Source organism: Homo sapiens, chromosome 3 (genome assembly GCF_000001405.40).
Source record: "Homo sapiens chromosome 3, GRCh38.p14 Primary Assembly".
NCBI classification, from domain to species: domain Eukaryota; kingdom Metazoa; phylum Chordata; class Mammalia; order Primates; family Hominidae; genus Homo; species Homo sapiens.
This window is the reverse complement of record NC_000003.12, coordinates 108123743-108150666: the sequence shown is the minus strand read 5'-3', so window position 1 is coordinate 108150666 and position 26924 is coordinate 108123743. Positions and strand designations below refer to the sequence as shown.

General features: G+C 41.5%; 1 long non-coding RNA gene across 2 annotated transcripts, besides 11 other annotated features; it reads right to left on the bottom strand.

Moving 5' to 3' along the window:
- Positions 1-12056: 12056 nt before the first annotated feature.
- On the bottom strand, positions 12057-25603 carry LINC01215 (long intergenic non-protein coding RNA 1215). Of its 2 annotated transcripts, NR_110028.1 has the most exons (3): positions 24759-24846; positions 15317-15523; positions 12057-14353 (listed from the first exon to the last, which is right to left on the bottom strand). It is a non-coding gene; the product is annotated as a long intergenic non-protein coding RNA 1215 (long non-coding RNA). The 2 variants fall into 2 exon arrangements; NR_110030.1 differs by lacking the exons at positions 15317-15523; positions 24759-24846 and adding an exon at positions 25525-25603.
- Positions 13955-14094: an enhancer, noted in NCBI's record as "active region_20215". NCBI's record gives its function as "activates an Ori minimal core promoter by ATAC-STARR-seq in GM12878 lymphoblastoid cells {active_cell/tissue: GM12878}" and the evidence as "EXISTENCE:reporter gene assay evidence [ECO:0000049][PMID:35858748]".
- Positions 16585-16744: a silencer, noted in NCBI's record as "silent region_14595". NCBI's record gives its function as "represses an Ori minimal core promoter by ATAC-STARR-seq in GM12878 lymphoblastoid cells {active_cell/tissue: GM12878}" and the evidence as "EXISTENCE:reporter gene assay evidence [ECO:0000049][PMID:35858748]".
- Positions 18413-19612: an enhancer, noted in NCBI's record as "BRD4-independent group 4 enhancer chr3:107849902-107851101 (GRCh37/hg19 assembly coordinates)". NCBI's record gives its function as "activates an origin of replication core promoter dependent on BRD2, P300/CBP, MED14 and CDK7 cofactors, and independent of BRD4, by STARR-seq in HCT116 cells {active_cell/tissue: HCT116}" and the evidence as "EXISTENCE:reporter gene assay evidence [ECO:0000049][PMID:35650434]".
- Positions 24591-24690: an enhancer, noted in NCBI's record as "active region_20214". NCBI's record gives its function as "activates an Ori minimal core promoter by ATAC-STARR-seq in GM12878 lymphoblastoid cells {active_cell/tissue: GM12878}" and the evidence as "EXISTENCE:reporter gene assay evidence [ECO:0000049][PMID:35858748]".
- Positions 25191-25270: an enhancer, noted in NCBI's record as "active region_20213". NCBI's record gives its function as "activates an Ori minimal core promoter by ATAC-STARR-seq in GM12878 lymphoblastoid cells {active_cell/tissue: GM12878}" and the evidence as "EXISTENCE:reporter gene assay evidence [ECO:0000049][PMID:35858748]".
- Positions 25491-25540: an enhancer, noted in NCBI's record as "active region_20212". NCBI's record gives its function as "activates an Ori minimal core promoter by ATAC-STARR-seq in GM12878 lymphoblastoid cells {active_cell/tissue: GM12878}" and the evidence as "EXISTENCE:reporter gene assay evidence [ECO:0000049][PMID:35858748]".
- Positions 25821-25960: an enhancer, noted in NCBI's record as "active region_20211". NCBI's record gives its function as "activates an Ori minimal core promoter by ATAC-STARR-seq in GM12878 lymphoblastoid cells {active_cell/tissue: GM12878}" and the evidence as "EXISTENCE:reporter gene assay evidence [ECO:0000049][PMID:35858748]".
- Positions 25821-26420: a biological region, named in NCBI's record as "H3K27ac hESC enhancer GRCh37_chr3:107843148-107843648".
- Positions 25866-26366: an enhancer, noted in NCBI's record as "H3K27ac hESC enhancer chr3:107843148-107843648 (GRCh37/hg19 assembly coordinates)". NCBI's record gives its function as "activates a minimal SCP1, AML or CMV promoter by ChIP-STARR-seq in naive H9 embryonic stem cells {active_cell/tissue: H9 hESC(naive)}" and the evidence as "EXISTENCE:reporter gene assay evidence [ECO:0000049][PMID:30033119]".
- Positions 26031-26080: an enhancer, noted in NCBI's record as "active region_20210". NCBI's record gives its function as "activates an Ori minimal core promoter by ATAC-STARR-seq in GM12878 lymphoblastoid cells {active_cell/tissue: GM12878}" and the evidence as "EXISTENCE:reporter gene assay evidence [ECO:0000049][PMID:35858748]".
- Positions 26161-26420: an enhancer, noted in NCBI's record as "active region_20209". NCBI's record gives its function as "activates an Ori minimal core promoter by ATAC-STARR-seq in GM12878 lymphoblastoid cells {active_cell/tissue: GM12878}" and the evidence as "EXISTENCE:reporter gene assay evidence [ECO:0000049][PMID:35858748]".

Sequence of the window (26924 nt, the reverse complement as noted above, 5' to 3'; positions counted from 1 at the left end):
GTCTTTAATGAAAAATGGTCATGGTTTGAATGTGCTCCTTTATCTCACTAATTCTATAACCCAATTTTTATCAAGGACCTCGGGCCTGAAGGCTCAAACTGCATTTTGAAGCTTATCTAATTAATATTCACCACCACAACCGCAAAGGGTGTGGAGCATGTATCATTAGCTTCACGTTTCAGATGGAAATAGGCAGTGAGAAGAAGCAGAGCCCTGTGTGTCTGGGTTCAGGAATTGGAGACTGTTTCCTTTTAGCACCATCGCCCATGTCTGATTCGGCTTTGCCCTCCCCCGTAAGGAACAACGCTGAGATAAACCACGTGGGGTGCTGTCATTTCAGCCTGATGTCCCCAGTATCAGAGTCTGACCAAAAGTAATAAGATCAAAGCCCTAAGGCTATGATGAAAATGAAAGTCCGTGATAAAGGGAGATTGGCAAAGAAGCCATTATGCGTAGGCCTGGGTACTCAAATGTTCTTAGAAAAATATCTAAAACACAGATATGTATTATTATACTATGGCAATTAAAACCTAAACTTCACAGTTAAAACAGCCATCTTAGAGATCTAAGCCATGGCCACACAAGAGCTGGGATTTTAGATTTGATTCTGCTCTGATCATTCAGCATCACTGTGAGCATCTATGTGTCAATTTCACTGCTTCCATCGCTTCTCACTATTTCTCATTCTGCAAAATCTCTCTGCATTTTTAAAAAAGCAGGCCAAAGACTCCTGGCATTACCAATCCCAATAAACACTGAAAGAACATACGCAGTGTCATACTGGGTAGATCAGTGGTCCATTTGATCAAGAATTCTGTCACCATTATCTGAGACATTCGTGGGATAGCATGACTTCCTAAAAACTAGTGTTGCACTTCTGAAAACTTTATCCTACAAATACAAAAATCACACAAGAAAATTCATTGCAGTGATGTTTGTAATGGCAAAAAAACCTGGGAATGAACTAAGCAACCCTGAATAAAGGATTGGTTGAATAAGTTGTGGTACGTATACAATGGAATATAACTCAGCTCTAAAAAAAAAGAATAAATAAAATTATGTATCAATAAAGAACAATCTCAAGGATATAATGTAAAGTAAATAAAGCAAGATGCGCACACTCAAGTGTGTATAGGATGCTGTATTAGTCTGTTCTAACATTGCTACAAAGAAATACCTGAAACTGGGTAATTTATAAAGTAAAGAGGCTCATGGTTCTGCAGGTTGTAGAGGAAGCATAGTGGCATCCGCTTCTGAGGAGGCCTAAGAAAGCTTCCAGTTATGGCAGAAGGCAAAAGGAGAGCAGGTGCATTCCACAGCAAAAGCAGGAGCAAGGAGGCAGAGGGACAGAGGGGTGTTACACAGTTTTAAATTACTAGATCTCACTCACTCTCAAGAGGACAATACCAAGGAAGATGGTGCTAAACCATTCATTACAAATCCACCCCCATGATCCAATCACCTCCCACCTTGTCCACCTCCAACACTGGGGGTTACATTTGAATATGAGATTCAGGCAGGGACACACATCCAAACTATGTCAGATGATATTAATTGTTTAAAATTGTGGGGTTAAATATTTTTAACCATTTGACATATATTTACTGAATACCTTCTGTGTCTCAGGGACCATTCTAACTACCAGGGATATGACAGTGGAGAAAACAGTTCTAACATCCTGTCTTCAGAAAGGTTATTCTATTTGCTTATTTATATGCATGTTTAAAAATCTTTGAAACAATACACAAGAAACCCATATCAGTAATTTCTATTTGGGGAGGCAGGGACTGTGCAGATGTGGGACAAATGTGAGACAGCAGGTTGCCACTGTGTAGACTTTTATGTTTCTTAAATATTTAAACTAAATAAAATACAAATGAAAAAATTAACAGGTAATTTTTAAAAAAATTTTTAAGTATACTTTAAGTTCAGGGATAAATGTGCAGAATGTGCAGGTTTGTTACATAGGTATACAAGTGTTATGGTGGTTTGCTACACCCATCAACCTATCATTTACATTAGGTATTTCTCCTAATGCTATCCTTCCCCTGGCACCCAACCCTCCGACAGGCCCCAGTGTATGATGTTCCCCTCCCTGTGTCCATCTGTTCTCATTAACAGGTAAAGATTAAGCACCTTTCTTTGTTAATCTGGTACTGATCTGCACTCATTAATTTATCCAAACCTGTCTTGAACCCCTTTATCGTTTACCTTAAGTGTTATGCCTTGTTAGCATAGCCTTTTCCATATATTTACTTGTGGAATTTAAATAAAATGGTATTCTTTTTGTTTCTCTTATAGAAATTTCTTTCTTAATTTCAAAACACCCCTTTCATCTAATATTCTGAGGTTAAATTAACAAATTCGTGTTTGTTGTCCTTGAACCATCCATTAACCTATTGTGATGGTTAATACTGAGTGTCAGTTTGATTGGATTTAGGGATACAAAGTATTAATCCTGGGTGTGTCTGTGAGGGTATTGACCAAAACAGATTAACATTTGAGTCAGTGGGCTGGGGAAGGCAGATACACCCTTAATTGGGTGGGCACCATCTAATCAGTCACCAGCAAATATAAAGCAGGCAGAAAAACGTGAAGAGGTGAGACTGGGCTAGCCTCCCAGCCTACATCTTTCTCCTGTGCTGGATGCTTCCTGCCCTCGAGCATTGGACTCCAAGTTCTTCAGTTTGGGGACTCAGACTGGTTCTCCTTGCTCCTCAGCTTGCAGACAGCCTATTGTAGGGCCTTGTGATCGTGTAAGCTAATACTTAATAAACTCCGCTTTACATAAAGATATACAAAGGGCTGTGCCAGGGATATGAAATAAATATATATATCCTATTAGTTCTGTCCCTTTAAGAGAACCCTGACTAATACACCTATAAACCTTAATGAAAACTCCCTGTTACCTTTGTCTTCTCTCACAGAAGAGTTCTGATTCCTGCTAACAAATTCATAATTTCCATACTGTTAGTTACATAAACTTTAATGTAAATGAAACCATCTTTGTTTGTAATTGAGGTGACTAGGACTCCATTTCTTCCTTCTACAAAAGCCGCCAGCCTCACTACCCCAGGACTACCTTTTACCTACATTTTTATCCATGAACTCCTTTCTCTCAGAAAACATCCAAAAATGATACTTTTGAAGCACAGAAAATTATTTCAAAATCCTAACAATAAATTCACCTCTTCCTGTCCCCCATCCTTCCTCTAGCCCCAGTTTTCAGCTCAGCTCTGACTCCCTTTATATCCTTGTCTGAGAATGATGCTGTGTCCATGTGTCCACTGTTGAGATTCCTATTCCAGCTCAGCTCCTAGTAGCACCAACATGCCTCTTTTCTCACCCATGCCTCTAATTGCCAAACTAAAAGGACATTTCCCCACTCAGATCATCCTTAGCTCTGCTGCAGTGTTTGACACAGTGTGAAACTGCTTATCCCTGTCACAGATCATAGGCTCTTATCATTAAAAGAGTTATTGCCTGCTTGTTAACCTCCCACATCCTTGGCCTCTCACAGACCCGCCTCTGGAGGATCCTGTGGTCCCCACTTACTCTAGTTTGGAGATATTCATGCATTCGCTGTAGAAGATACTATCAGGATGTGCCTGTGACCCCTGGGATCCATTTCTAGAGTGGCCAACTGTTCAGTTTGCTCAGGACTGAGGGAAGTTCCAGGATGCAGAACTTTCTGTTTTAAACATGGACAGTCCTAGGGAAACCAGAACAAATTGGTCACCCAAGCTTACCGTTGTCACACAGACTGCCTCTGGGTGTGCCTTCACTCCCAAAGACTGGCACCTGTGTCTCCTTGTTGGAGGACTTCCCTTAGGCTGCCAAATGCCCCTGTGTTTTCTCCCCCAGTGAGTGGGTCATGGGGACTGTTCCCCAGGGATACACTTCTCTGAAGTGACTGCGAGTTTTTGTATCCCTGACATAGCCCTTAACCAATGACTGACAGTTAAAGGAGTTTAGGTACTCTAGTGCCTTTGACCTGATTGGGTAATGCTGAGTTATGACTTACACTGTCTCCAAAACTCCCTGTAGGATTAAATCAAAGTTACCCTCCCCAGAACTTTGCTTGATAACACACCTGTTTGGTTTGCTTCACTTTATTGTCCCAATACTCCATGATGCTTCTGGTTTTCCCTGGGGACAGGTCGTAACAAATCACTTCCTTATCTCAGAAGCTGCTTCTGGAGACCCCAAATGGCTTGGTAATCTATTGCTGTGTGATAAACAACTGCGAAATATAGTGATCAAAACAACTTTTTAATTATTTCTCACAATAATTGACATCACAATTGGTGGGTCGGCTGGGCTCCGCAGGGTGGTTCTTCTATTTCACATGATGATAGGTGTGACTGCAGTCATCTGGGGGCTCTCCGGGCTAGAATGTCTAAGATGTCTCATGCCAGCACACTCATGTATCTGAGGCCCCCTTGAAAGTTCTGCATACTGGAATTCCCTCAGTCCTTGAGAGTTTAGTTTGCCTCTGTGAGGTCTCACATATCAAGACTTACCAAGCACATATGGTTGTAGTCAGACAGCAGCTAGTGCTAGAGTCAACTGAAAGGTTAACCAGAATGCTGGGATAGCTAGTCTTCCTCCCTTCTTCTCTTGGATAAGTTTCCTAGGGTTGCCATAGCAAAATGCCACAAACTGGGTGACTTAAAACAACAGATATTTGTTCTCTCACAGTTCTGGGGGCTAGGAGTCTAAAGTCAAGGTATCAGAAGGGCCATGCTACTTCTGAAGGTTCTAGAGAAGAATCCCCACTTGCCTCTTTTTAGGTGGTTGTTGACAATCCTTGATGTTCCTGGCTCACAGCTATATTACTCCAATCTCTGTTGCTGTCATCACATGGCCTTCTCTCTGTGTGTCTGTGTCTTCAGATAGCCAGGTCATAAGGACACCAGCCACTGGATTTAGGTTTTATCTAAACCAGTATGCTTTCATTTTAACTTGATTATATCAGTAAAGACCGTGTTTTCAAATAAGGGCACATTCACAGGTTCTGGGTGAGCATGAATTTTGGAGGGACACTATTCAGCTCAGTGCACCTCTCCATGTGGTCTCTACATGGACTCTCCATCAGAGAGAGAACTTACAAGCAGTTCAAGTTTCTCAGAAGCACAAAAGTGGAAGCTGCACAGGCCTTCTTAAGACTTATTAAGCACTAAAAGTGTGCATAGCCCTATTTTAAATGCTAAGGTGACAGTGGAGAACCAGATAGGCAAGGTGTCTGTTGTTATACAACTTCCATCGTAGTAGAGAGAATATCATTGACCATTTCCCTTACCTAGAGCTCTTTGAGTTAATGTGTTGTGGTACTGTGGAAAGAATAATGAAGTATATCTGACACCTGGACTCCAGTCTTGCTTTGGGTTCCAAACAGAATAAAAGATAATGTTGCCTATCTCCTGGCTTAGTCACATAATATCCCTGGGCCTTCATTTCCTCATTATATAATGGAGAGTTTGAACGAGATTATCTGAGGTCCTTCCAACTCTGATGTGTCTCCATCATTTATGCAACTGCTTTCCTTGTTCAAACAACTTTCTTAATTTCATCTCCTTCAGAAAGTCTTTGGGAGGAGGTAAAGCTTTGTGGATAAGTAGTGCAGGGGATGAAAACTTATAGAGGGAAAGGAAGAAAATGAATTTCCTGGACTGTTGAAAATTGCCTTTCCCATTACTTCCATATTCTTATACTCTTAAATTGTTATGCTTCCCTTAATCATTAATACACATCTGCTAAAATTGTGGTCTCCATCGCAACTGACCCACTTGGCAGAAGAGACAGTCTGCAAATTATAATGTAGGCTAACATCATATAATTCTTTTACCATTGCTATCTCTAGCATACACCTGTTACAGAGAACACCAGGTGTTAGTCTGCAGGTGTTCTTGAGACTCACAAAGAAAAACAGGTAATTGCTCCTGTATACTTCTTAGCACAAAAATACAATGATACCCATTACTGTACTGTAATGATACTGTAATGGAAGGGAACTGTGGATCAGCCCCTGTGATGGTATCTGTGTATGTTGTTCCAAGCAAGTCATTAGAAATGAGAATATAGTAGGGCTTTTTTGTTTTAAGAATAAGGGTTAATGTTGTTTTGAATAAAAGGTATCTCTCTTTTTTTTTTTTTTCTTTTTTTGAGACAAGGTCTTGCTCTGTCATCCAGGCTGGAGTGCTGTGGCGAGTAGCTGAGACTACAGGTGCACACCACCACACCGGGCTAAATTTTTTGTATTTCTCATAGAGACAGGGTTTCACCGTGTTGCCCAGGCTGGTCTCAAATTCCTGGGCTCAAGCGATCCACCTGCCTCAGCCTCCCAGAATGCTGGGATTACCAGTGTGAGCCACCATGCCCAGACAAAGGTATCTGAATGCCAGTATTTTTTCAAACTGCAAAACAGGGACCAAATGCCTCAGAATTACTTGGGCTGCATATTAAAATGCAGATTTCTGGGCTAGTCTCAGAGTATGAGAGTTGGTAGGCCTAGCACTTAATCATTTCCCCTGAAACACACTGAAAATAGTGATTCCTACCAGCATCTCATTCTTCCATGCAAATCCAATCATTTCCTGTCCTTTCTTCTAGACAGTTTGGATTTCAGGTCAGTGCTTCACAAATTCTCCTACTGCCAGGACCCAAGAATTAGTCCAGCCATCGGTATTAGCACCACCATCCCTTTGCCCCCACCAACCCCCAGCTCCCGACTTCTGCTGAACCTATAGGAACACAAAATTGAAAAAAAAAAAAAAGAGTTTGAGGAGTTGCCCCAGTCAAGTAGGTTCTGACATCAAGGCAGGAAGCTGGGAACCCCAGAAGGTGGAGATGCAGGGAAGTGTCCTGAGTGTGATGGAAAGCGGGCAGCCAGCCAGTGTCCTGGGGCAGCCTGCTCTCCCTCCAAACATCAGAGTGGGGACAAGTCTCAGGACCCAGGGAAGGGAAAGACCAGATCATGTTCTTCTGTCACATGCCACTGAGAAAATTAAAAGGATTATACAATGAGATATTCAGAGTATGTTAAGAAGTTCACGGCCGGGCGCGGTGGCTCACGCCTGTAATCCCAGCACTTTGGGAGGCCGAGGCGGGTGGATCATGAGGTCAGGAGATCGAGACCATCCTGGCTAACAAGGTGAAACCCCGTCTCTACTAAAAATACAAAAAATTAGCCGGGCGCGGTGGCGGGCGCCTGTAGTCCCAGCTACTCGGGAGGCTGAGGCAGGAGAATGGCGTGAACCCGGGAAGCGGAGCTTGCAGTGAGCCGAGATTGCGCCACTGCAGTCCGCAGTCCGGCCTGGGCGACAGAGCGAGACTCCGTCTCAAAAAAAAAAAAAAAGAAGTTCACAACAGAAGAATGGAGAAACATTTTAATTGACTTAAAATTTAGTATATGATCTATCATTCACCATAGATTTAGTTTTTACTCTTTAATCTGTTATATTTAAAATTAACTGCCAGGCACAGTGACTCACTTCTGTAATCCCAGCACTTTGGGAGGCTGAGGCAGGAAGATCACTTGAGGCCAGGAGTTTGAGTCCAGCCTGCGCAACATAGTGAGATGCCGTATCTACAAAAAAATAAATTTAAAAAAAATTAGCCAGGCATGGTAGGGCATGCCTGTAGTCCCAGCTATTCGGGAGGTGGAGGTGGAAGGATTGCTTGAGCCCAGGAGTTCAAGGTTGCAGTGAGCTATGATCATGTCACTGCACTTGAGTGCTGGTGACAGAGTGAGACCCTGTCTCAAAAAAATTAAATTAAATTAACTTTGTTGTGTTTTTAAAGTAATACATTCAATGAATATTTATCCAATGCCTACAGGGTATATACTGCTCAGCTGACATTGACCTGGTCCCTGCCCATATGGGGTTTATATTCCATTGGAGAAGACAGCCATTGCATAATCACATAAATAAAAGCATAATTATAAACTGTACTAGGTTTTATGACAGTGAGGTTCATGGTGTTGTAAGGGTATATGACAGGAAAACCTAACCCGGTCTGGGAGGGGGCCAGGAAAGATGTCCATAAAGAATTGATATATGATCTAAAAACTGAAGAATTAGTGAAAGTTAACCCAACTCAGGGGTAGAGAGCCTTCCAAACAGTGGGGGCAATAGCATGTGCAAAGGTTCTGCAGTGGTTTGAAGAGGTCCAAATGACAGAAGGCAACTGTGCCTGAGCGCAGAGCAAGCGAGAACAGATTTGGATGGGTTTGGAGTTCCAGGCAGAGGCCAGACTTTGCAAGGTCTCATGCTAAGCAGGTTGTTCTCTAAGAACAATGAGAATCATTAAAGAGTTGAAGCAGGAGTTGATATAGTCAGATTTGCATCTTGAAAAGATCACTTAGACTACGTGTAAAGAGCAGATGAAGAGGAACAAGGCTGTGTAGGAGGAGACCAGCCAGGTATTGTGATGGTTAATTTTATGTGTCACTTTGTCTCAGCTAAAAGCTGTCCAGATAGCTGGGAAAACATTATTTCTTGGTGTATCTTTGAGGGCATTTCCAAAAGAAAAGATCATTTAAGTGGGTAGACTGAATAAAGAAGATCACCTCACCAACATAGATGGGCATCATCTAATTTTTTGAGATCCCCATTAGAACAAAAAGGCAGAGAAAAAACAAATTCACTCTCTCTGCTTGAGTTGTAACATCCATCTTTTCCTGTCCTCATAAATTGGTGCTCCCTGTTATTGGGCCTTCAGATTCAGACTGGGACTTAAACCATTGGCCTGGTTCTCAGGCCTTTTGGCCACTGGCTGACTTGGGCCTCCAGCTTGCAGATTTCAGACTGTGGGACTTAGCCTCCGCAATCACATGAGCCAATCCCTCATAAATCTCTTTTTATACATCTATATATAGAGAGGATCCTCAGGTTATGATGAGGTCATGTTCCCATAAACCTTTGTAAATTGAAAATATTGTAAGTTGAAAATGCATTTAATACACATAGCCTCTCAAACATCATAGCTTAGCCCAGGCTACCTTAAACATGCTCAGAACATTTACATTAGCCTACAGTTGAGGCTGTAGGCTACATCAAACAGAAAGCCTGTTTTTTTTTTTTTTTTTTTGTGACGGAGTCTCGCACTGTTGCCCTGGCTGGAGTGCAATGGCGTGGTCTCGGCTCACTGCAACCTCCGCCTCCCATGTTCACGCCATTCTCCTGCCTCAGCCTTCTGAGTAGCTGGGACTACAGGCGCCCACCACCATGCCTGGCTAATTTTTGGTGTTTTTAGTAGAGATGGGGTTTCACCATGTTAGCCAGGATGGTCTTGATCTCCTGACCTTGTGATCCACCCGCCTCGGCCTCCCAAAGTGCTGGGATTACAGGTGTAAGCTACCACGCCCAGCCACAAAAAGCCTGTTTTATAATAAGGTGTTGTACATCTCATGTCATTTATTGAATACTGTACTATATTATGTCAAAACTGAGACAGGTTCACACCATTGTAAGGTCAAAAAGTCTTAAGTTGAACCACCCAAAGTCAAGGACTGTCTATATAGCCTATTGTTCCTGTTTCTCTGAAGAACCCTAACTAGCACAGCGTTATCCACTAGATTGGATGAAAGATAATGTGTCTTGGACAAAGGTGGTTGCTGCGAAGACAGAGAGAAGAGGACTGCTTTGAAACACATTTCAGAGGTGTTAATCACTGGACTTAATAATGGGTTGGGTACAGAACTGAAGCAGAGTGATGAGCCAGTGATGACACCGAGGTATCTGGCTCATCCCACTAATGGAAGATGATTTCCTTTCACTGATGAAGAAAACACGTAAGAAGATTGGGTTTGAAGGGGTTGGGGTACCTGAGTTCACTTTTCAATGCGGTTAGTTTGAAGTGTTCTTGAGACATTCAAATGGAGATGTTGAGTAGGCAACTGAAGTTTGGGAGTCATCAATGCTTTGATGGCAATTGAACTCAAAAGTGTGGATGAGATAACTTAAAGATTTCCATAGAAACCAATGCCAATATAGGGTAGTGGTTCAGAGCAGGAGTCCTAGAATGAAGCCATCTCAGTTTGCAGCCCAGCTCTGCTACTTCCTAGCTGTGCAACCATGAAGAAATTACTCAAATACTCTGAATTTCCCATATATTTAAAAACAGAGAATATACTATTCCCTACCTTATAATGCTGTTGGGAGTATTAAAATGGCTTCTTGCATTTGAAACTTTTAGCATAGTTCTCAGTATTTAGTAACCACTCAATTAACTACTCAATAAGTGTAGATTTTTCTTCTTTCAGAGAGCGTACAGGGTTAGTAAGTAGGCTTCCCTAGGACTAAGCCTTGAAGAAATCCAATGATTAATAGTTAGGTAAAGAAGGATGAGGAACAACCACATTATGGTCTGAATCCCTGCTGTCCCAAATCCACCCACAAGAGAAACTAGGACAGCAGCTGCATCTAGAGCCTGCTAGGGTGCTTATCCCTCCTAACAATGTGTATGTGTAGCCAGGAGGGAAGGAGCCAAGTGTTCTTGAAGGGATCCCAAAGTCAAAGGCCTGGTTCAAGGAATAAAGGAGGATATGAAGTAGGAGACTACAAAGCCAAGCTGGAAGCAGGTCAGTAGCAGGTCAGAAACCAGAGAAACAGGAGCTGGGAAATTACAGTTGACCCTTGAACAATGTGGAGGTTAGGGGCACCAACCCCTCATGCAGTTGAAAATCCAAGTATAACTTTTGATCCTCAAGAACTTAACTACTAATACCCCACTGATGGCCCAAAGCCTTGCCAATAACATTAACAGTCAGTTAACACATATTCTGTATATTATATGTATTATATACTGTGTTCTTACAATGAAGTAAGCTAGAAAAAGAATGTTATTAAGAAAATTACAACAAATATAGTTATTATTCATTAAGTGGAAGTGGATCAGTCATCAAGGTCTTCATTCTCATCATCTTCATGTTGAGTAGGCGGAAGAGGAGGGGGTTTGTTTAGCAGGAATAGCAGAGGCAAAAGAAAACCCATGTATAAGTGGACCAGTGCAGTTGAAACCTGTGTTGTTCAAGGGTCAACGGCACTGCTAACACATGAGACGCCCAGGACATCCTAATGAAGATAGGTGGACAGGATTGGAGAAACCAGAAGATTCCATAATATTCTTAAATACATAGATGCCTACTGCTCAGAACCACCTATCCTAGAAGTATTTAGAGTTTTCTGCTTATAAAGAATGAAATAGACCAGGTGCAGTCACTCATGCCTGAAATCCCAGCACTTACGAGGCCAAGGCAGGCAGATTACTTGAGGTCTGGAGTTCGAGACCAGCCTGGCCAACATGGCAAAACCTCCGTCTCTACTAAAAGAACAAAAATTAGCTGAGCTTGGTGGCATACACCTGTAATCCCAGCTACTCAGGAGGCTGAGGCACAAGTATTGCTTGAACCTGGAATACAGAGGTTGCAGTGAGCTGAGATTGCCACCCTGCACTCCAGCCTGGATGACAGAGCAAGACTCTGTCTCAAAAAAAAAAAGAATGAAATAGAAGAGTTTTATAGCCCCTTTATCAGTTCAGTGGTTTAAAAGTGTTCTGTGGCTGGGCGTGGTGCCTCACACTTGTAATCCTAGCACTTTGGGAGGCCAAAATGGGCGGATTGCCTGAGGTCAGGAGTTCGAGCCCAGTCTGGCCAACATGGTGAAACCCCATCTCTACTAAAAATACAGAAAAGTTAGGCAGGCGTGGTGGCATGCGCCTGTAATCCCAGCTACTCTGGAGGCTGAGGCAGGGGAATTGCTTGAACCAGAGAGGTGGAGGTTGCAGTGAGCCAGATTGTGCCACTGCACTCCAGCCTTGGTGACAGAGCGAGACTCCATCTCAAAACAAACAAACAAACAAAACAACAACAACAACAACAAAGTGTTCTTTATGTCAGTCATGCTGCAGTATGAAATTTTGATACTTATACGTTATGACAATATGTTACTTTAAAAAGTATATCTTCTCTGGTATTTTCAGCTACTGTTATTGTTTTGGGATATAATATATCAGACAAGAAGTATTTAACCAAAACCCAGCTGACAATTTCAAAATGTTCTAAAAATATTTATTGATATGTTGATAATGATTCCAGTAATAGTGATTGATATCATCAATGTTAGCATCAACATTGTTCAGTAACAATAGGATCTGGTCAAATGTGATATCTGTGTTATGAAAAGCTATACATGCATACTTCAGAGATAGTGTGAGGCAGTTCCAGACCAAAGTAATAAAGCAAATATTACAATAAAGTAAGTCACTTTTTTTAGTTTCCCATGGCATATAAAAATTATACTTAGGCTACATTTTAGTCAAGTGTGCAATAGCATTATGTCTAAAAAACAATGTACATACCTTCATTAAAAATATGTTATTGCTAAAAAATGCTGTCACAGAGGCAGGAAGTGAGCATATGCTCTTGCAAAAATGATGCCAATAGACTCACTCGATGAAAAGTTGCCACAAATCTTCAATTTGTAAAAAACACATTCTTCGAGAAGTGCAATAAAATGAAGCGCAATGAAACAAGTGTGTATGGTGTGTGTGTGGGGTGGTGTGTGTTCAGAAAGATAGGAGTGTGCAATGGCAAGGAAACTCAATTTAAAGCAAATTTGGATTGAGACCAAATATATAGTAATAGAATTTGCATTATTAAATAAAGTATTGACATTGACTCATACTCGTAGAAGTCTATTCTCATTATGATGATAGCTACTCTTTCTTCCATTAGATTGATGAATTGCTGAAGGAAGCAAAAAGTAAATTCATCTCAGTAAGTGAAAATCATTTCATTGAGCATGAATTTTTGGGGTCCAGCCCCATACTAAAATAGTCACAAGTTGAATACCAAATGGTCTCTAGCCTAGGCCATTCTCAGTCAAAGGCAAACATACAACGCTTGTTCAAAGGAAGAAATATTATTACCTGAAATTTAACAAAGATCTTGGAAAATATTTAAATAGGCTAAAGCGACTTGTAATTTTTTTTCCCCCGAGTAGGCATGTTGTTCTGAAAGCTCTCCGGGCTGACATTGCCTGTTTACTTATTGATTGCGTCTTTTTCACTGTGCCAACAGCATTCTAGCCTCAGGGATCATTTTCCAATGTAGCTTTTTAAATGTTTTTAATTAGGACATTGTAATGGATTAAAGGCAGGCAGAGACTGAAAAGTAGCTACCTTTCTACACACACCTTAGGCAAACACACACTTCAAAAACATTCCGTCCGCCCCCCTCCCCCCGCCCCCCCCCCACCCCAAGTTTCAGTCTCCCTGTTGCTGCCCTGCCCCTCTCTCTTCAAGAACCCTTGGTTTCGGTTGTTGGAGTTTGGGGGCAGGGTGAAAAATCAATCATCCAGCCCTCACCTTCCAGTTCCACGCAGTTAAGAACTTGGCAAAATGAGCAAGCAGAGGATCAAAGCGTGGTATCAGCTTTAGCAGTGGTAAAGCTGGATTGGATAACACTACACGTTCCAAGCACAATATCAGCTTTAGGTAATGGGCCAGAGAGCACAGGGTTCTTTATTAAACTGCAGGAAATGCAACTGGACCCACTTCCCTTCTGCTCTATGTCTGCACTGGGGACTCACTGGACCAGGACTTATTAGCCATCTTGAAGCAGAGAAGCAAGAACGAAAGACCCAGCAGGACCCACCTGTAACGAGCTGACTACATGGGGACAAAGACAGGCATGTACAGCTCCTAGGAGCACTTGTGAGGCAGGAGAATAGGGTCTGGAGGCAGGGAATGTAAGGCCAATTCACGCTGACTTCCTAGAACTAAATCAAAAGGAAAACCCCCACTTTCCACGCCCAAGTGCCCAAGTAACAAAAGGACCAGAGGCTACTCCCTTTGCAACACCCCTCACCTGCCACCCTTTTTCTGCATTGCAGGTGAAAAACTGAAAGTCCCTCTGATTGGTCCCCTCTCACAACCAATCAGGTTGGTTGTGGGCCAAGTCTTCATTTGCGTGGGAGTATTACTTTGTAACTTCACTTCAGCCTCTAATTGGTCACTTTCCACAACTAATCAGACGTTTGCATTCTGATTGGTCCCTTCCAACCAATCAGACTGATCACAGGCCACTACTTCATATACATAGGGTGTACACCAAGTAACCAATGGAAACTTCTAAAGGGTATTTAAACCCCAGAAAGTTCTGTAACTGGGCCCTTGAGCTGCTTGCTCGGCCTGCTCCCACCCTGTGGAGTGTGTTTTCATTTTCAATACATCTCTGCTTTTGTTGCTTCTTTCTTTTCTTGCTTTGTTTGTGAGTTTTGTCCAATTCTTTGTTCAAAGCGCCAAGAACCTGGACACCCTTCACTGGTAACACTTGGGTCTGAGAGACCTAGAGAAAAAGAGAAATGACTCATGAACACTTAACTTTGTCAGGTAAAGAAACCTGGCAGAGTGGGTATCAAGTTTTCCCCAGTCTCACCAATCAGAAAAACCATCTTTCTCCCAAGAAAAGAGATGAGTGAGCAGGGAAGGGAGGGGCTGTAGTACTTTCCCCAAGAAGGCCATAATTCTAGATACACATGGAGAAACAATTATATTCCATTTATCCACTAAAAATAATACACAAGTTTTATTTTTCCCCCTTTCATATCAAGCACTGGTTAGAGATGACCCAGAAATCCAAAGATGGAAAGAACTTTACTGAGGTAAAGTTTATTTATGTTCATCATTTGGATGATATTAACCCTCTTTTTCAATCGGAAGCAAAGGATTTTTAGATGGGTTAATTCAGTCTCTCTGAGGAGCTGATACAGTTTGCTGTAAATGTGTTTTGCTTCACAGACAATAGTGCTGTGATGGAATGGTTGGTCCATGAGTCTGTGAATAAATGAATAAATCACACACCTGTTAAATTGTGTGCTGCACATAATCAAGGGGTTGTGATGTTGTTTTTTTTTAAAGCAAAAATGTTGCTTCTCTCCATTTGCTGCTCCTAAACAATTTCTAAATGTAGTGTCTTGTATTTTCCCCATTTAGTGAAGTTCAAAGTACTTCATGGTGCTCACACATGTGAATTCTAAATCTATGTATTGTCCCCATCAATTCTCAGAGTTGCAAATATAAGCACTGTGATTTGGCATAGGAGCAAATTAAAATATACCAACATTCTAATCCTTCCCCAGGTCATATTGTAAGTCAGGGTTGGAGAAGTAGGAGTGATAGAGTCTGAAAGGATACCATGAAGCATGCCACTCACCTGGGCAGGCACCCCGTGGGAGTGTATAAGGATGTAGGATTCTGGAGGAACCCACAAAAGTCCTGGAGCCTTAGGCTCCAATTCAAGAACACCTACCATGAATGACATCTCCATGCCAGGAACGTGACCACTGTGTCCACTGGCCAGGCCAACAGAAGGAGGAAACCATGAAGCTGCTGGGTTTTAAAACTTATGCATGGATAGCTTCCAAGCTCTCAGTTGTATCATGTAGTTTTAAAAAAAATGTCCTCTTCCTGAGTGGGGAACTGCAATCCATTATGAATGAAGACACTGCATTGTTATCTAAGTAGACAATAATGACAATATTGATTTTTATTTACTTTGTACCAATTATCTCCCAAAATATTCAGAGAAAAGGGTACAGACTCTGATGCTTCAAATTCATGCTCCATATTCTAGTTGTTTGTCATTGGTCAAATGACTGAGCCTACCTGAATTTGTTTACTAAACCAAAAAAAGGGGAGGCATAAAATTTTTATAGAGTAGAGGTGTTGAGGGAATTAAATGAGTGTGGTGTGTGTGTGTGTATGTGTAAAACGTGTAGAAGTTATAGGCTTTTACTGGGTTTGGCCACTTTGTGTACTACTTAGTTTCTTGGTCTACCTGGTTCATATATATTTGTCTATGGCAGCATATAAAGACATTCTTTAACTTGATGTATGATAGAAAGAGAGAAAATGAGAAGGAAAAAAGGAAAACGAAAGGAAAGCAGAACTGAAAATGACTGAGTGTGGTATCACTAAGAACTACATCCAGTTGGTTATATAGCTGTCTTAGCCACAGTGCATTGCTAAACTCTGTTATATTACAATGCAGGTCTAATATAAATCTACAATTCCCCCTCACTAACAACTGAAGAAGACTCTCATGAGAAAGGTTAAACGAGTGATCTATAGTCTGGGGTAAAATTTCCTTTCCTTGTATTAATTCAGCTGAGCCTTCACTGCATGCTCTGAGAGGGTGCATTTTTCTCAGCCCACCCGTTTTCAGTGTTTCCTCATTCACTTGCTCCAAGTTCACTTTACTTTGAGAAGAGCCCTTATCACTGTGTTGCTAGTACATTGAGCCAAAACTCTAGCCACTATTTACTTGGAATGCCATTGAAATACTTTCTTATTTTTGTTTTCCCAAAGCCTTCTTTCTCTTTCTTATCTGAACTTTCTATGTCATCACTGTGGAGCTGAGGAGATTTTGTTTTTGTTTTTGTTTTTGTTTTCGTCCTCTGCTCCTTTTGATGGAAGGAGTAATTTCCATATTGGTTTCGATTTGAACAGTGGATTTTCTCACTGGGTAAAACAAGAATGCCATGACACTTTCTGTGTAATTTCTGTATATTAAAGGTATCTATGGCAGTAGCAGACCGAGGCTACCCTCCTTAACCATTTACATCCAATGCTGAGTGTGATTCTAAAGCACTTAAAGTGATACTGAAAACTATTACTTTTAAGTGGCATTTTCAGAGGTTTGTCAGTTATAAAATAACCAAGTAGGAAGCATCAGTGAAAGCCATCTGGCCTTCAAATACTGCTTGTCTCTCCCTCACTCTATTATCTTTCTAGAGTCCCTGAAACCCTTAGCTTTGTTCATTCTTCAACAGACAGTATTTATTAATGTCCTTCAAGTGTTCCATCAGGGAGCCGGGTGGTGGGAATTAATACAACAGTATATGTGTATGAATATACATGGGGCTGTACCCACAGAGCTTATTAAACAAGTGTTGTCAATGACGGGTGCCAAATACCATGACAGGAGAAGCATGCTTTACATAGGAGCCTTCCTGGGAACTTCTAATCCATGAGGGTAGAGGGAGGCAGAAGCTTCCTGGAGGAAGTAATATTTTTAACAACCCTACCCTGTCATTCTTTTGAACCAAGGCATTTATTTATCCTTGTTGAAATGCAAACTACTTACCACTTACCCAGGAGAATAACACTTTTAGATCATAAGAACTCTGGGTATGTTGGCATACATTAGCTTGTCCACAAGCTAAGGCCCTGAGGAAATGAATATTAGAATTATTAAATTTTAGATGGCAGCAAAAGGAAGATTAAGCCCATGGCTCTGTTTAAAGATCAGGAGGCCACTTCTATGGGGAACTTTTTGTCTGCAGAACTTTGGGGTTCTGGGGATTAAGATAGGGCTTAGGCTCAAGACACTAAAATAGGATTCAGGTTACATGGATGATTTCCCCTACATTATAGTTTTGCCTAAGCCTATTCTACTCTTGAGCTAGTCCTTACAACTCCCACTCATCAGGGAAAATGCCTCCACTTGGCTTCTGGATAGTGAAAGTGAAGTGTGAAATGTAAGAGGAAAAGTATCTTTATAAAATCTGATATGCCCAAGATAGTTCTGCACCAAGACAAGTTTAGCTGGAAAAAATTCATCTTTCTGTTTTTCTACAGGTTATCTCTATGATCTCTCCTTGTATGTAAATTATTTATAAGAGTGTGATTCTAAAACTCAAGGTAAAAATTCGTCACTCACTTTTTGTTTACATGAATACGTGCCAGAACCTACACTTCCCCATTCTTATAGCATTACAAAAATGCCGATACATGAGTCTCCTGTTTATTAACTGGAAAAGCTTTCAACTGAAAATCCCCACTGTGTAATTTATACAGGCACTTTGAGATGTAATAAAAATCCCTAACCCTAATCTCAACCTCTGTCCTTTTAAAATCCAATTCAGAACACTTGTCAAGTGATTGACTAGAAAGGTGCCTTCCATTAAGCAAATGCCAGGAGGTGTTTTCTTCTGAAAATGAAGAGAGTTAGCAAGTGATCAGCAACTAGGAATTTTGTCTCTATCCTTCCTGTTGTGAGAGCTCTAACTCTGAGCCAGGATCCCTGCCTCCAGCTCTTAGGAGTTTGAGTGCATGTGTGTGTGTGCGCGCACGTGTGTGTGTGTGTGTGTGTGTGTGTGTGTGTGTGTGTGCATGCATAGTCATGCTTTGGAGTGAAGAGGAAATTCAACTCTGAGTTTCCACTTTTCCTGTGGACAAAGATCTGTTCCTTGTGTCCCCACATGGCATGGTGGAAATGGGGCATGCGTCACAGAAAGGATAACATTTTATAGGCTACAGTGCACTAGAGCACGTTAACTTTTATCCCAACAACAAACCTGCAGAAAAAGAGTAGGTTAGTTACAGATGTTCTTTTGCTTACCAACTTTCAACCTATGGATATTCACAGATAAAATCCCAAGCTCTCCTGTGAGAACATACTACATGGTAACAGCAGATGATATGGAATGTACACTGCTGCCTTTTGAACTCAAAAACTGTGCTGTTCACCATCAATGCATTTGCTGTGTTTGTGAGAGTTTTTTTTGAGAAGTTTTCCCAAGCATTATTAACCACATCAGATTCAATAAATCCAAGAAAATGGAGAGTGTTCAAAGTCCTTGTTGATATATACAATTACCATGGAAACAGAAGAGATTTTTAAAAACTGGAAGTGATGAGAAAAAGAGGAACTCTTCACACGAATATAGGATGAATTATTCAATAGTAGAAATGATTATAAAGGGCAAAGAGCAAATCGTGCAACGTACAAAAGTGCTGTGCCTGTGTCCGTGGACAATATCAGCAAGAGAATGGAAGAGGAAGACAAAGGATGACTTCTTGAGTCGGCACCTTGACACTAGATGGGCAGAGGAGCCTCCTGTTCATTCCGGGGAGGGCTAACTTGGGAGAAGTTTAAGAGCTGGCCAAAGAGACTCTGCTCTTGAAACTGTTGCCTCAAGGCAAAGGGATGCCTCTTCCAGTCTGGTTCACATCCACATGAGGGGCGAGGCGACGAGAATGCAGGCTGTGGCTCCTAAGGACCTCCTCAGGACACTTGGGAGATCCCCAAGAACAGTTATCTGCCCCCACAGACTTCCAGCAGAGACAAATGACAAATGACAATAATTTTGGGGAAAATGTCCTTCACTCATTCAAAAGCTATATTTTTAGTGCCTTCTATGCACCAAACATTATTTTATCACCTAGGCAGACATGGCATTGAACATGCATAAACAAGAACACCAGCTTTTATTAAAAGCTTTGAGAAACTGATTCATGCTCCTATTCCTGGAAGTGCATTTGTGACAGCAAGCTTAGTCACTTTGGAATTTCCAACAAACAGATTCAATTACAACCATATTGTAAGTAGAATAGTTTCTGTGTTAGTAGTTGCCAGTCTAATAATGAGGAAACTGGGCTATGCAGGGCTTAAGACACTTGTCCTAAGTTGTCAGAGGTGGAATGGAGTCAAATCCAGCTGTTGATTTCAAACTAGTGCTCTCATCTATGCATCTCAATTCTTTACAATATGATCCAACATACTGTCCTATAGATGAACCAAAAACTGACTCTAAAATTTCCTTTCTCCAATTCTTGGAAGCCAATGACATGCAATGTCTTCAGTTTTATTTTTTGCATATGATGAAGAGCTACTTTCTAGTAACTTACTAAGTATTTACTAAGGATTACTACATTATGGCATAATGATCTAAAATTAGCACATTATTACAGTTTACCAATGACTTAATTCTGTGCTATACTAAGAAGATTGCATAGCACCAAAGAACTGTTAATTCTGGCATGTGACTCACTTAGAGACAAGGAGATAGTTTGGAACTTCTGTAATTTTTAGTAAATAGGCTATACATTTTGAGTGTTGTTATCATGAGTGGGCTGGAGATTTCCATTTCTGCCATTCTTACCTTTCATTATAACTCACTGTTAATTTGATTTTTAAATTCTCATTTAAATTGTGGTGGATTGTTGGGTTAATCCTACAATGAATAGTAATGTATCAACAGCATTTCACCTTAAATCTATCCAATGACTGGATTTTAAGACATAAGTCTATTAAAATTCAAAGTAGTAATTTATTTTGCTAAAGCACAAACGTGTAGAATCCACACTCACCTGGCAAATATACTGAGATGCTCATTATATTTATCAAATTCTTTTTATTAGAAAGCGGAAGTGAGTAGTAAAGGAGTGAACGCAGGATATTTCTGCTCATGCTTGAGAACATCGAGTATTATTTTAACCTCTAGAAAACTAGTACTGCTATCTTTTAGGTCTAAGTACCATTCCCTATTGGCAAGCTACCTAAAAGCTATGTCTAACCCCTTCTCCCTTGCTGCCTCCCAGCACAGAGGCTGGAAAATAAAATATGTGGTTTGCCCATCTTTCTTGAAGCTAGGGACAGTCATGTCATCCTGTCTGGCCCATGAAATGTACATGGAATTCTTCTGGGGGAGACTACTTAGAGAGTTTTATATTTCCTGATGAATTACCTCCAAATAATATTGAAGACAATGCCTGGAACAACAGCCATTCTGTAACTACAAGGAAAGTAGCAAGAGAATCACAAAGATCTGTTGCTAAAACCCTGAACCTATGCTGATAGTTGCCTACCTACAGATTTCTTTTTATGGGAGAAAGAATAAAACCCTATTTGTTAAGGTCAATGAGCACTGAGTTTATTGTTAGGATCCAAAAGCAAATGCAGTAATACTTATATATAGATAGGTAAGGATTTAGATGCTGACTTTTGTATATAATCCTTATTTGTAATATTGCCTCTGGGAAAAAGGTATTCTGGGTTTAAACAGATTTATTAATTAAAAAATTAAAACATAACCTTCTAATTGATAAATAATTTCAAGTGTGTATTTTCATCACCTCTCCCTCAATCTCACACTCTCATTAGCACCCTCACAAGCATTTGAGCACACACACCTGCTCCAAGACCTGTGTTTTTCCCCTATTACCTAGTGATGGGATGATAAATTGGTTTCATCTTAGGCGCCAATGGTGATAGATTGGGAATGGCTGTCTGGATCACAATGTTGAAAATAATTTTGAGGCAGACAACACAACTCATAAGGAAGAGTGCTGTGATCAATCGGCCAGGTCTGCCAGGGATATGAAAAATGGACTGGCAGCACCTGTGTTTTTGTAACAGTTGACCTGATCCAGTGTATCAAATTTTAATTGCTCAATCTAGCATAATCCCTTCTCTTCTCTCAACCCTGTAGGTAGGAATTTAGGATTTTCAAACTGGGACATTTGGTCTCTATGTTGGCTATAGTTCACTAACTAGAAAGTCAGGGTATAGTAAAGAAAACAATAGCCAGCTAAAGTATTTAAGTGGGAATTATATTAAAATGTCATGTCTTTAAAAATGTAAACATATATAGTCATGAGGTGCACCACTTGCTTTTCCCTTCAAGGAATAACTTGCTGTCGGGTTGCAAGATGTGCAGTTAGCCAACAGCATCCAGCTACACCGTCTGTAGAATCCACCTTAACTTTCAAGCCAAGGCCATGCACATCCTAGGCAGACCCAGACATTGCCTGAGCATGGAGGTTCATGGCCAGGCCAGGCCATTTCTATCCAGTGTGGGACTCTCTTGCAGGCAGTCTTTGCTATGGGACTTCCATTATATTGGCTAAGACTTCGTCAGATCTACATCATGGACTGAGACACTCCCAGCTCCATCCTGCTTCCTTCTGCCTCTCCTTTCATAAGTGGCACATCAGCACCCCTGTCTGATATGGTTGAGCTTTGTGCCCCTACTCAAATCTCATCTTGAGTTGTAATCCCCAGGTGTTAAGGTAGGAACCTAGTGGGAAGTGATTGGATAATGGGGAAGGTTTCCCTCAAGCTGTTCTCATGGTAGTAAGGAAGTTCTCATGAGATCTGATAATTTTAAAAGAGTGGCACTTCCTCACTCACTGGCTCTTCTCTCTCCTGCCACTATGTGAAGAAGGTCCTTGGTTTCTCTTTGTCTGCCGCCATGATTCTAAGTATGAGGCTCCCCCAGCAATGTGGAAATGTGAATCAGTTAAACCTCTTTCCTTTATAAATTGCCCAGGCTCAGGTATTTTTTTACAGCAGTGTGAAAATGGACTAATACATTGCCCCACCTTGATCAGTCTCCCTTTATCTTTCCCAGGTGTGACCCCCTCCTCCTCATACACTCGTAATTCTGCTTCCTGGAGAATCCAAACTGATACCTATACCTACTATGGATATGACTACTTAAATATACCAAGCACTTATCATGAGTGGGCACATACAACATGACCAAAGAGGCAAAGTGCTAGGTTGGCTTTTGCATCAGAGAATATTGATTAAAATCCCAGGCACAAATCATAGAGTGGCTTCGAACTAGTGTCTTATTCTTAAGGTGAGGATGATCATGGTGATACCTGATGGGACTGTGTGAGGATTAAATGAGATAATCATGAAGTTGATTTCTAAACTATTATGCACTGTATTACTTTTAGTTGTCACTATTATTTTATAATTTCAAGCAATTTTACATATCAATTACCAGCTGATTAATTAACATTCCTTTATAAATATTTATTAAGCCTTCACCATGTAACTGGTACTGGTCTAGGAACTGAGGAAGGCAAAGTTCCTGCTCTAGTGAATCTCAGATTTTCTAAATTAATCAAGTAAATATGAGTTTCATTTAAAATAAACTAAGCAACAGGTCGCTAACATAGGTGGTCATATCTTTGCTTGGTTCGATTCTAATAGCAGCTTGGATTCGTCCCAGGATTTGTCTTTGTTGATCTTTCCTGCTGAACTACCTTTTCTTTCTTTCGGTTTCACCATCCTTGATGCTGTGAATCCTGCAGGGAGCTAACAGGCTGGTGTGATAGCTTCTTACTACACCTACAGCTCAGCGAGTCCCGCCACTTGCTTTATACACTTTGATTTTTCTCTTTGCTTCTCTCTCCTATCTGACCCCCCTTTTCCTGAACACTTGCTGCCCCCTATTTCTCTTTTCTTCACTTTTGCTTTACTTCTTTTGCTGCCCCATTCCGTGGGAGACCCTATCTCTGTTTCTTCAGGTGGCCCTGTGGGTGTGAAAGAACAAACTTCTGGGCAGGCATACACCAGTGGTACACCAGCGGTACACAGGAAGACACCCCTCCCAGGAAACAATACCTCTGCCTCTGACACTTCCGGGAGCCTTGTAGCCACAGGAATCAACACATGTCTCTGCAACACTTCAAATTAACTCAGGCCTCAACAAGGCAGAGAGGGGTGTAGCCATACAGGCATGATCAGGGCCAGCTTATCACCATTCACTGGGAGACTGGCTGGAATGTGGATGTGCCGAGTGAAAAGTCAAATGTCTGCCTAATAGCAGAGCCCTCCACTCTGAAACACAAATGGCCCACTACATTCCTCACTCATAATTTTTAAAAATTTTTTAAAAAAATCTTTTACCCTAATGTCCAGTAGGCTATTGAACACTAGCTATCAATTTTTTGCCCTATGCCCTACAGTTAAAAATAAATGGCCAGGCAGGGTGGCTCACACCTGTAATCCCAGCACTTTGGGAGGCTGAGGCGGGCAGATCACAAGGTCAGGAGATCGAGACCATCCTGGCCAACATGGTGAAACCCCGTCTCTACTAAAAATACAAAAATTAGCTGGGTATGGTGGCATGCCTGTAGTTCCAGCTACTTAGGAGGCTGAGGCAGGAGAATTGCTTGAACCCGGGAGACAGGTTGCAGTGAGCTGAGATCATGCCACTGCACTCCAGCCTGGGTGACAGAACGAGACTCCATCACAAAATAAACAAATAAATAAATGTGTGTGCATAAATATGTACACACATATACATATGTATATTTTATATACACAAGTATTTGTATATCTAAAACCAGTTTCACAAAACAGTACCCTCATTACATGCATAGCTCAAATTTTTTAATTTCTTTATAATCTAGTTATCTTAATAACTTTTTAAAATGCTGGTTTTGACCTAGAGATTTTTAACCTTGTGTGTGTGTGTATATGTGTTTGTGTGTGTGTGTGTATCTGTTTGTGTGTATGTGTGTGTGTGTATGCATGTGTGCACGTGCCATTTCTACCCCATGTGATGAAGCCTATGGATCCTTTCTTGTAGTGTTTTTAAATGCATAAAGCAAAACTCTTAGGCTTACAAAGGAAATCAATGATATTGAAATACAATTCTATCCTTGGGCCTCTTGTGGGGAAAGGGCAGTGTCCACAGACCCAGGTTAAGAATCTCTGCATGGGTAAATTGATTTCCCAGCTGACTGCTGAGCCACAACCTGCAGTTTGGAAAATAAGGCTGTACAAAGCCTCAGAACATTTTGTTGTAGTTAAGTATTTCAGATGCTTATTATCCTGTCACGGTTTTAACCCTCTTTTCCCTCCCTTTCCCCATGCTCCCTCTATCCAGTCACCCACACCCCACCACATGCACATGCATGTGTACTCACTTACATGCATGCACATATATGTTGCCACATATCCACATACACATAGGCACACACATGCACAGGCACACACATGCAGATCTTAGGTCACATATCTGGAATGAGATGAGGCACTAGACCACTGGGTCCAGCCCCTCCTGTGACCCCAGTCCCACTCCCTGACTGCCTCTGTGTCACAGCTCCTCTGGCTCCTGCCTCAGAACTACTCTAGTGGCTCATTATCTCTGCAGGGCAGCGCTCACCATCACGACTTTCTTGTTTTCTTTCACAGCATTGTGAGCCAATAGGTGCATTCTGCCTCAGAATAGTGGTGGAGACTGGTGGTGGCACAGCCCAGAGCTCTTGACGTTTATTTTCTCAGGCTTCAGTGAACCTTCTGTGGCAGGTGTTTCCTTTTGATAGGCGGCAGTTCCTCCCTGGGTCACTCCAGCCTGCAGCTGAAGCCCTCACTTAGCTCACTGTGGCTGTACTGAACACACCACCTCCCAACATGGAGCAGCCTAGCCAGGGGGTGCGGGAAGGAAAGATGGTTGCTGCCACAAATGAATGACTCAGCTACCTTCTCCAATGGTTTGATATTGACGTTTCCTCCTGTCATAGCAAAAATGCCCAGGTGAACTGTTTTCTCCATCGCATGTAGAAAGATGATGGTTGTCTGAACTGGTTCCAGGTAATGGACAGTGGTAAGCGCTCCCTTCTCTTATAGTATGTTATGGATTGAAGTGTGTCTCCCCACAAAAAGATATTACTGGAGTCCTAACCCTGAATATTTCAGAATGTGACCTTATTTGGAGATAGTGTGTTTACTGAGGTAATCAAATTTAAATGAGGTCATTACAGTCTCTAATCCAATAAGACTAGTGTCTTATAACAGAAACGAACGCTTACAGAGGGAAGACAATGTAAAGAGACACATGGAGAAGATGGCTGTATTTCCATTCTCATGCTGCTATAAGGACATACCCAAGACTGGGTAATTTATAAAGGCAAGAGGTTTAATTAACTCACAGTTCAGCATGGCTGGGGAGGCCTCAGGAAACTTAGAATCACGGCAGAAGGGGAAGCAAACACGTCCTTCTTCAAGTGGTGGCAGGAAGAGAACTGAGTGAGTAAAATGAGGAAAGTCCCCTTATCAGATCTCCTGAGAACTCACTCACTTTCACGAGAACAGCGTGAAGGTAACTGCCCCCATGATTCAATTACCTCCCCCGGGTCCCTTCCATGACACGTGGAGATTATGGGAACTACAATTCAAGATGGGGTTTGGGTGAGGACACAGCCAAACCATATCAACAGCCATCTGTAAGCCAAGGAGAGAGGCCTGGAACAGATACTTCCCTCGCAGCTCCCAGAAGGAGCCAATCCTGCCGACACCTTGATTTCAGACTTCTGGCCTCCAGATTGTGAGACAAGAACAGCAACTCGGCCTGTGTTCTCTGCCCTTGAGGTTGAAACAGGGAGCAGAAGGTTTTTTTTCCCCTCTGTGTTGCAGCATGGAGTTCTGAATGACAGATGAGGGGTTGATCACCCTCCACACCCATGCTAAGCCTTATGGCTTCACGGGGTTCAGGCTTCCTGTGTTCAGTCTTCTGTGTTGCCAGAAAAATTTGCATACTCCCATGGACAAAGAAAGCAGCAGAGGAGAAAGAAGAGCTTTCATTCACTTCCTCTTTGGGGTGAGAGCAAGTCTGAATGCTCTAGAATTGATTCTATTAGAAAAACTCTCTGACCCCAAATATGAATATTTTCACCACACCCAATACTCATAATTTTAAAAATAGATCTTTTGAGTTTCATCCTGACTAGTAACCTAAAGATCACTGACTTCTGATTTATTTTTTTATCATGCTCTACAGTTAGAAATGCAAACATATAGACTAGAGAGGGCCACAGAGGTGTTTGATCCCATCACTTCATGTAGGTAGGAAGATGTTGAACCCCTGAGAGGGGTCGGAACTTGTCCAAGATCACACAGCAGGCAGAGTACATCAGGACCTCAAACCCATATCTTCTGCCCTCTCCTCCTAAGGTCTCCATCACTAACACCCTGTCACGGTCCATCCTGCTAAGGAAGTCTCTACTATAAAATCCCATACCTTGAAAATTAATTGTTTTTCCACTCACACGTTACCACCCTTCCCTCCTGCAAACATTTGGAAGTTGAAAGGTCGCACAGCCTTCATGAAATTAACCAGAAGAATTGAAAGGAAGCTGATGACAAAAGTACTTCAAAATCTGTTTTTCATGAAAACAGCTTTTTCTTTTCCCCCTCAGATCAAACTGAATTTTTCTTTTTATTTTTGCGGTATTCTTCTAATTGTGCCTTTTTAAATGTGTTTGAAATAGTTCTTTGTTTCTGTAGATTAATCACCTTTCAATGCTCTCCTTTTTTAAAAAAAACAAAATTT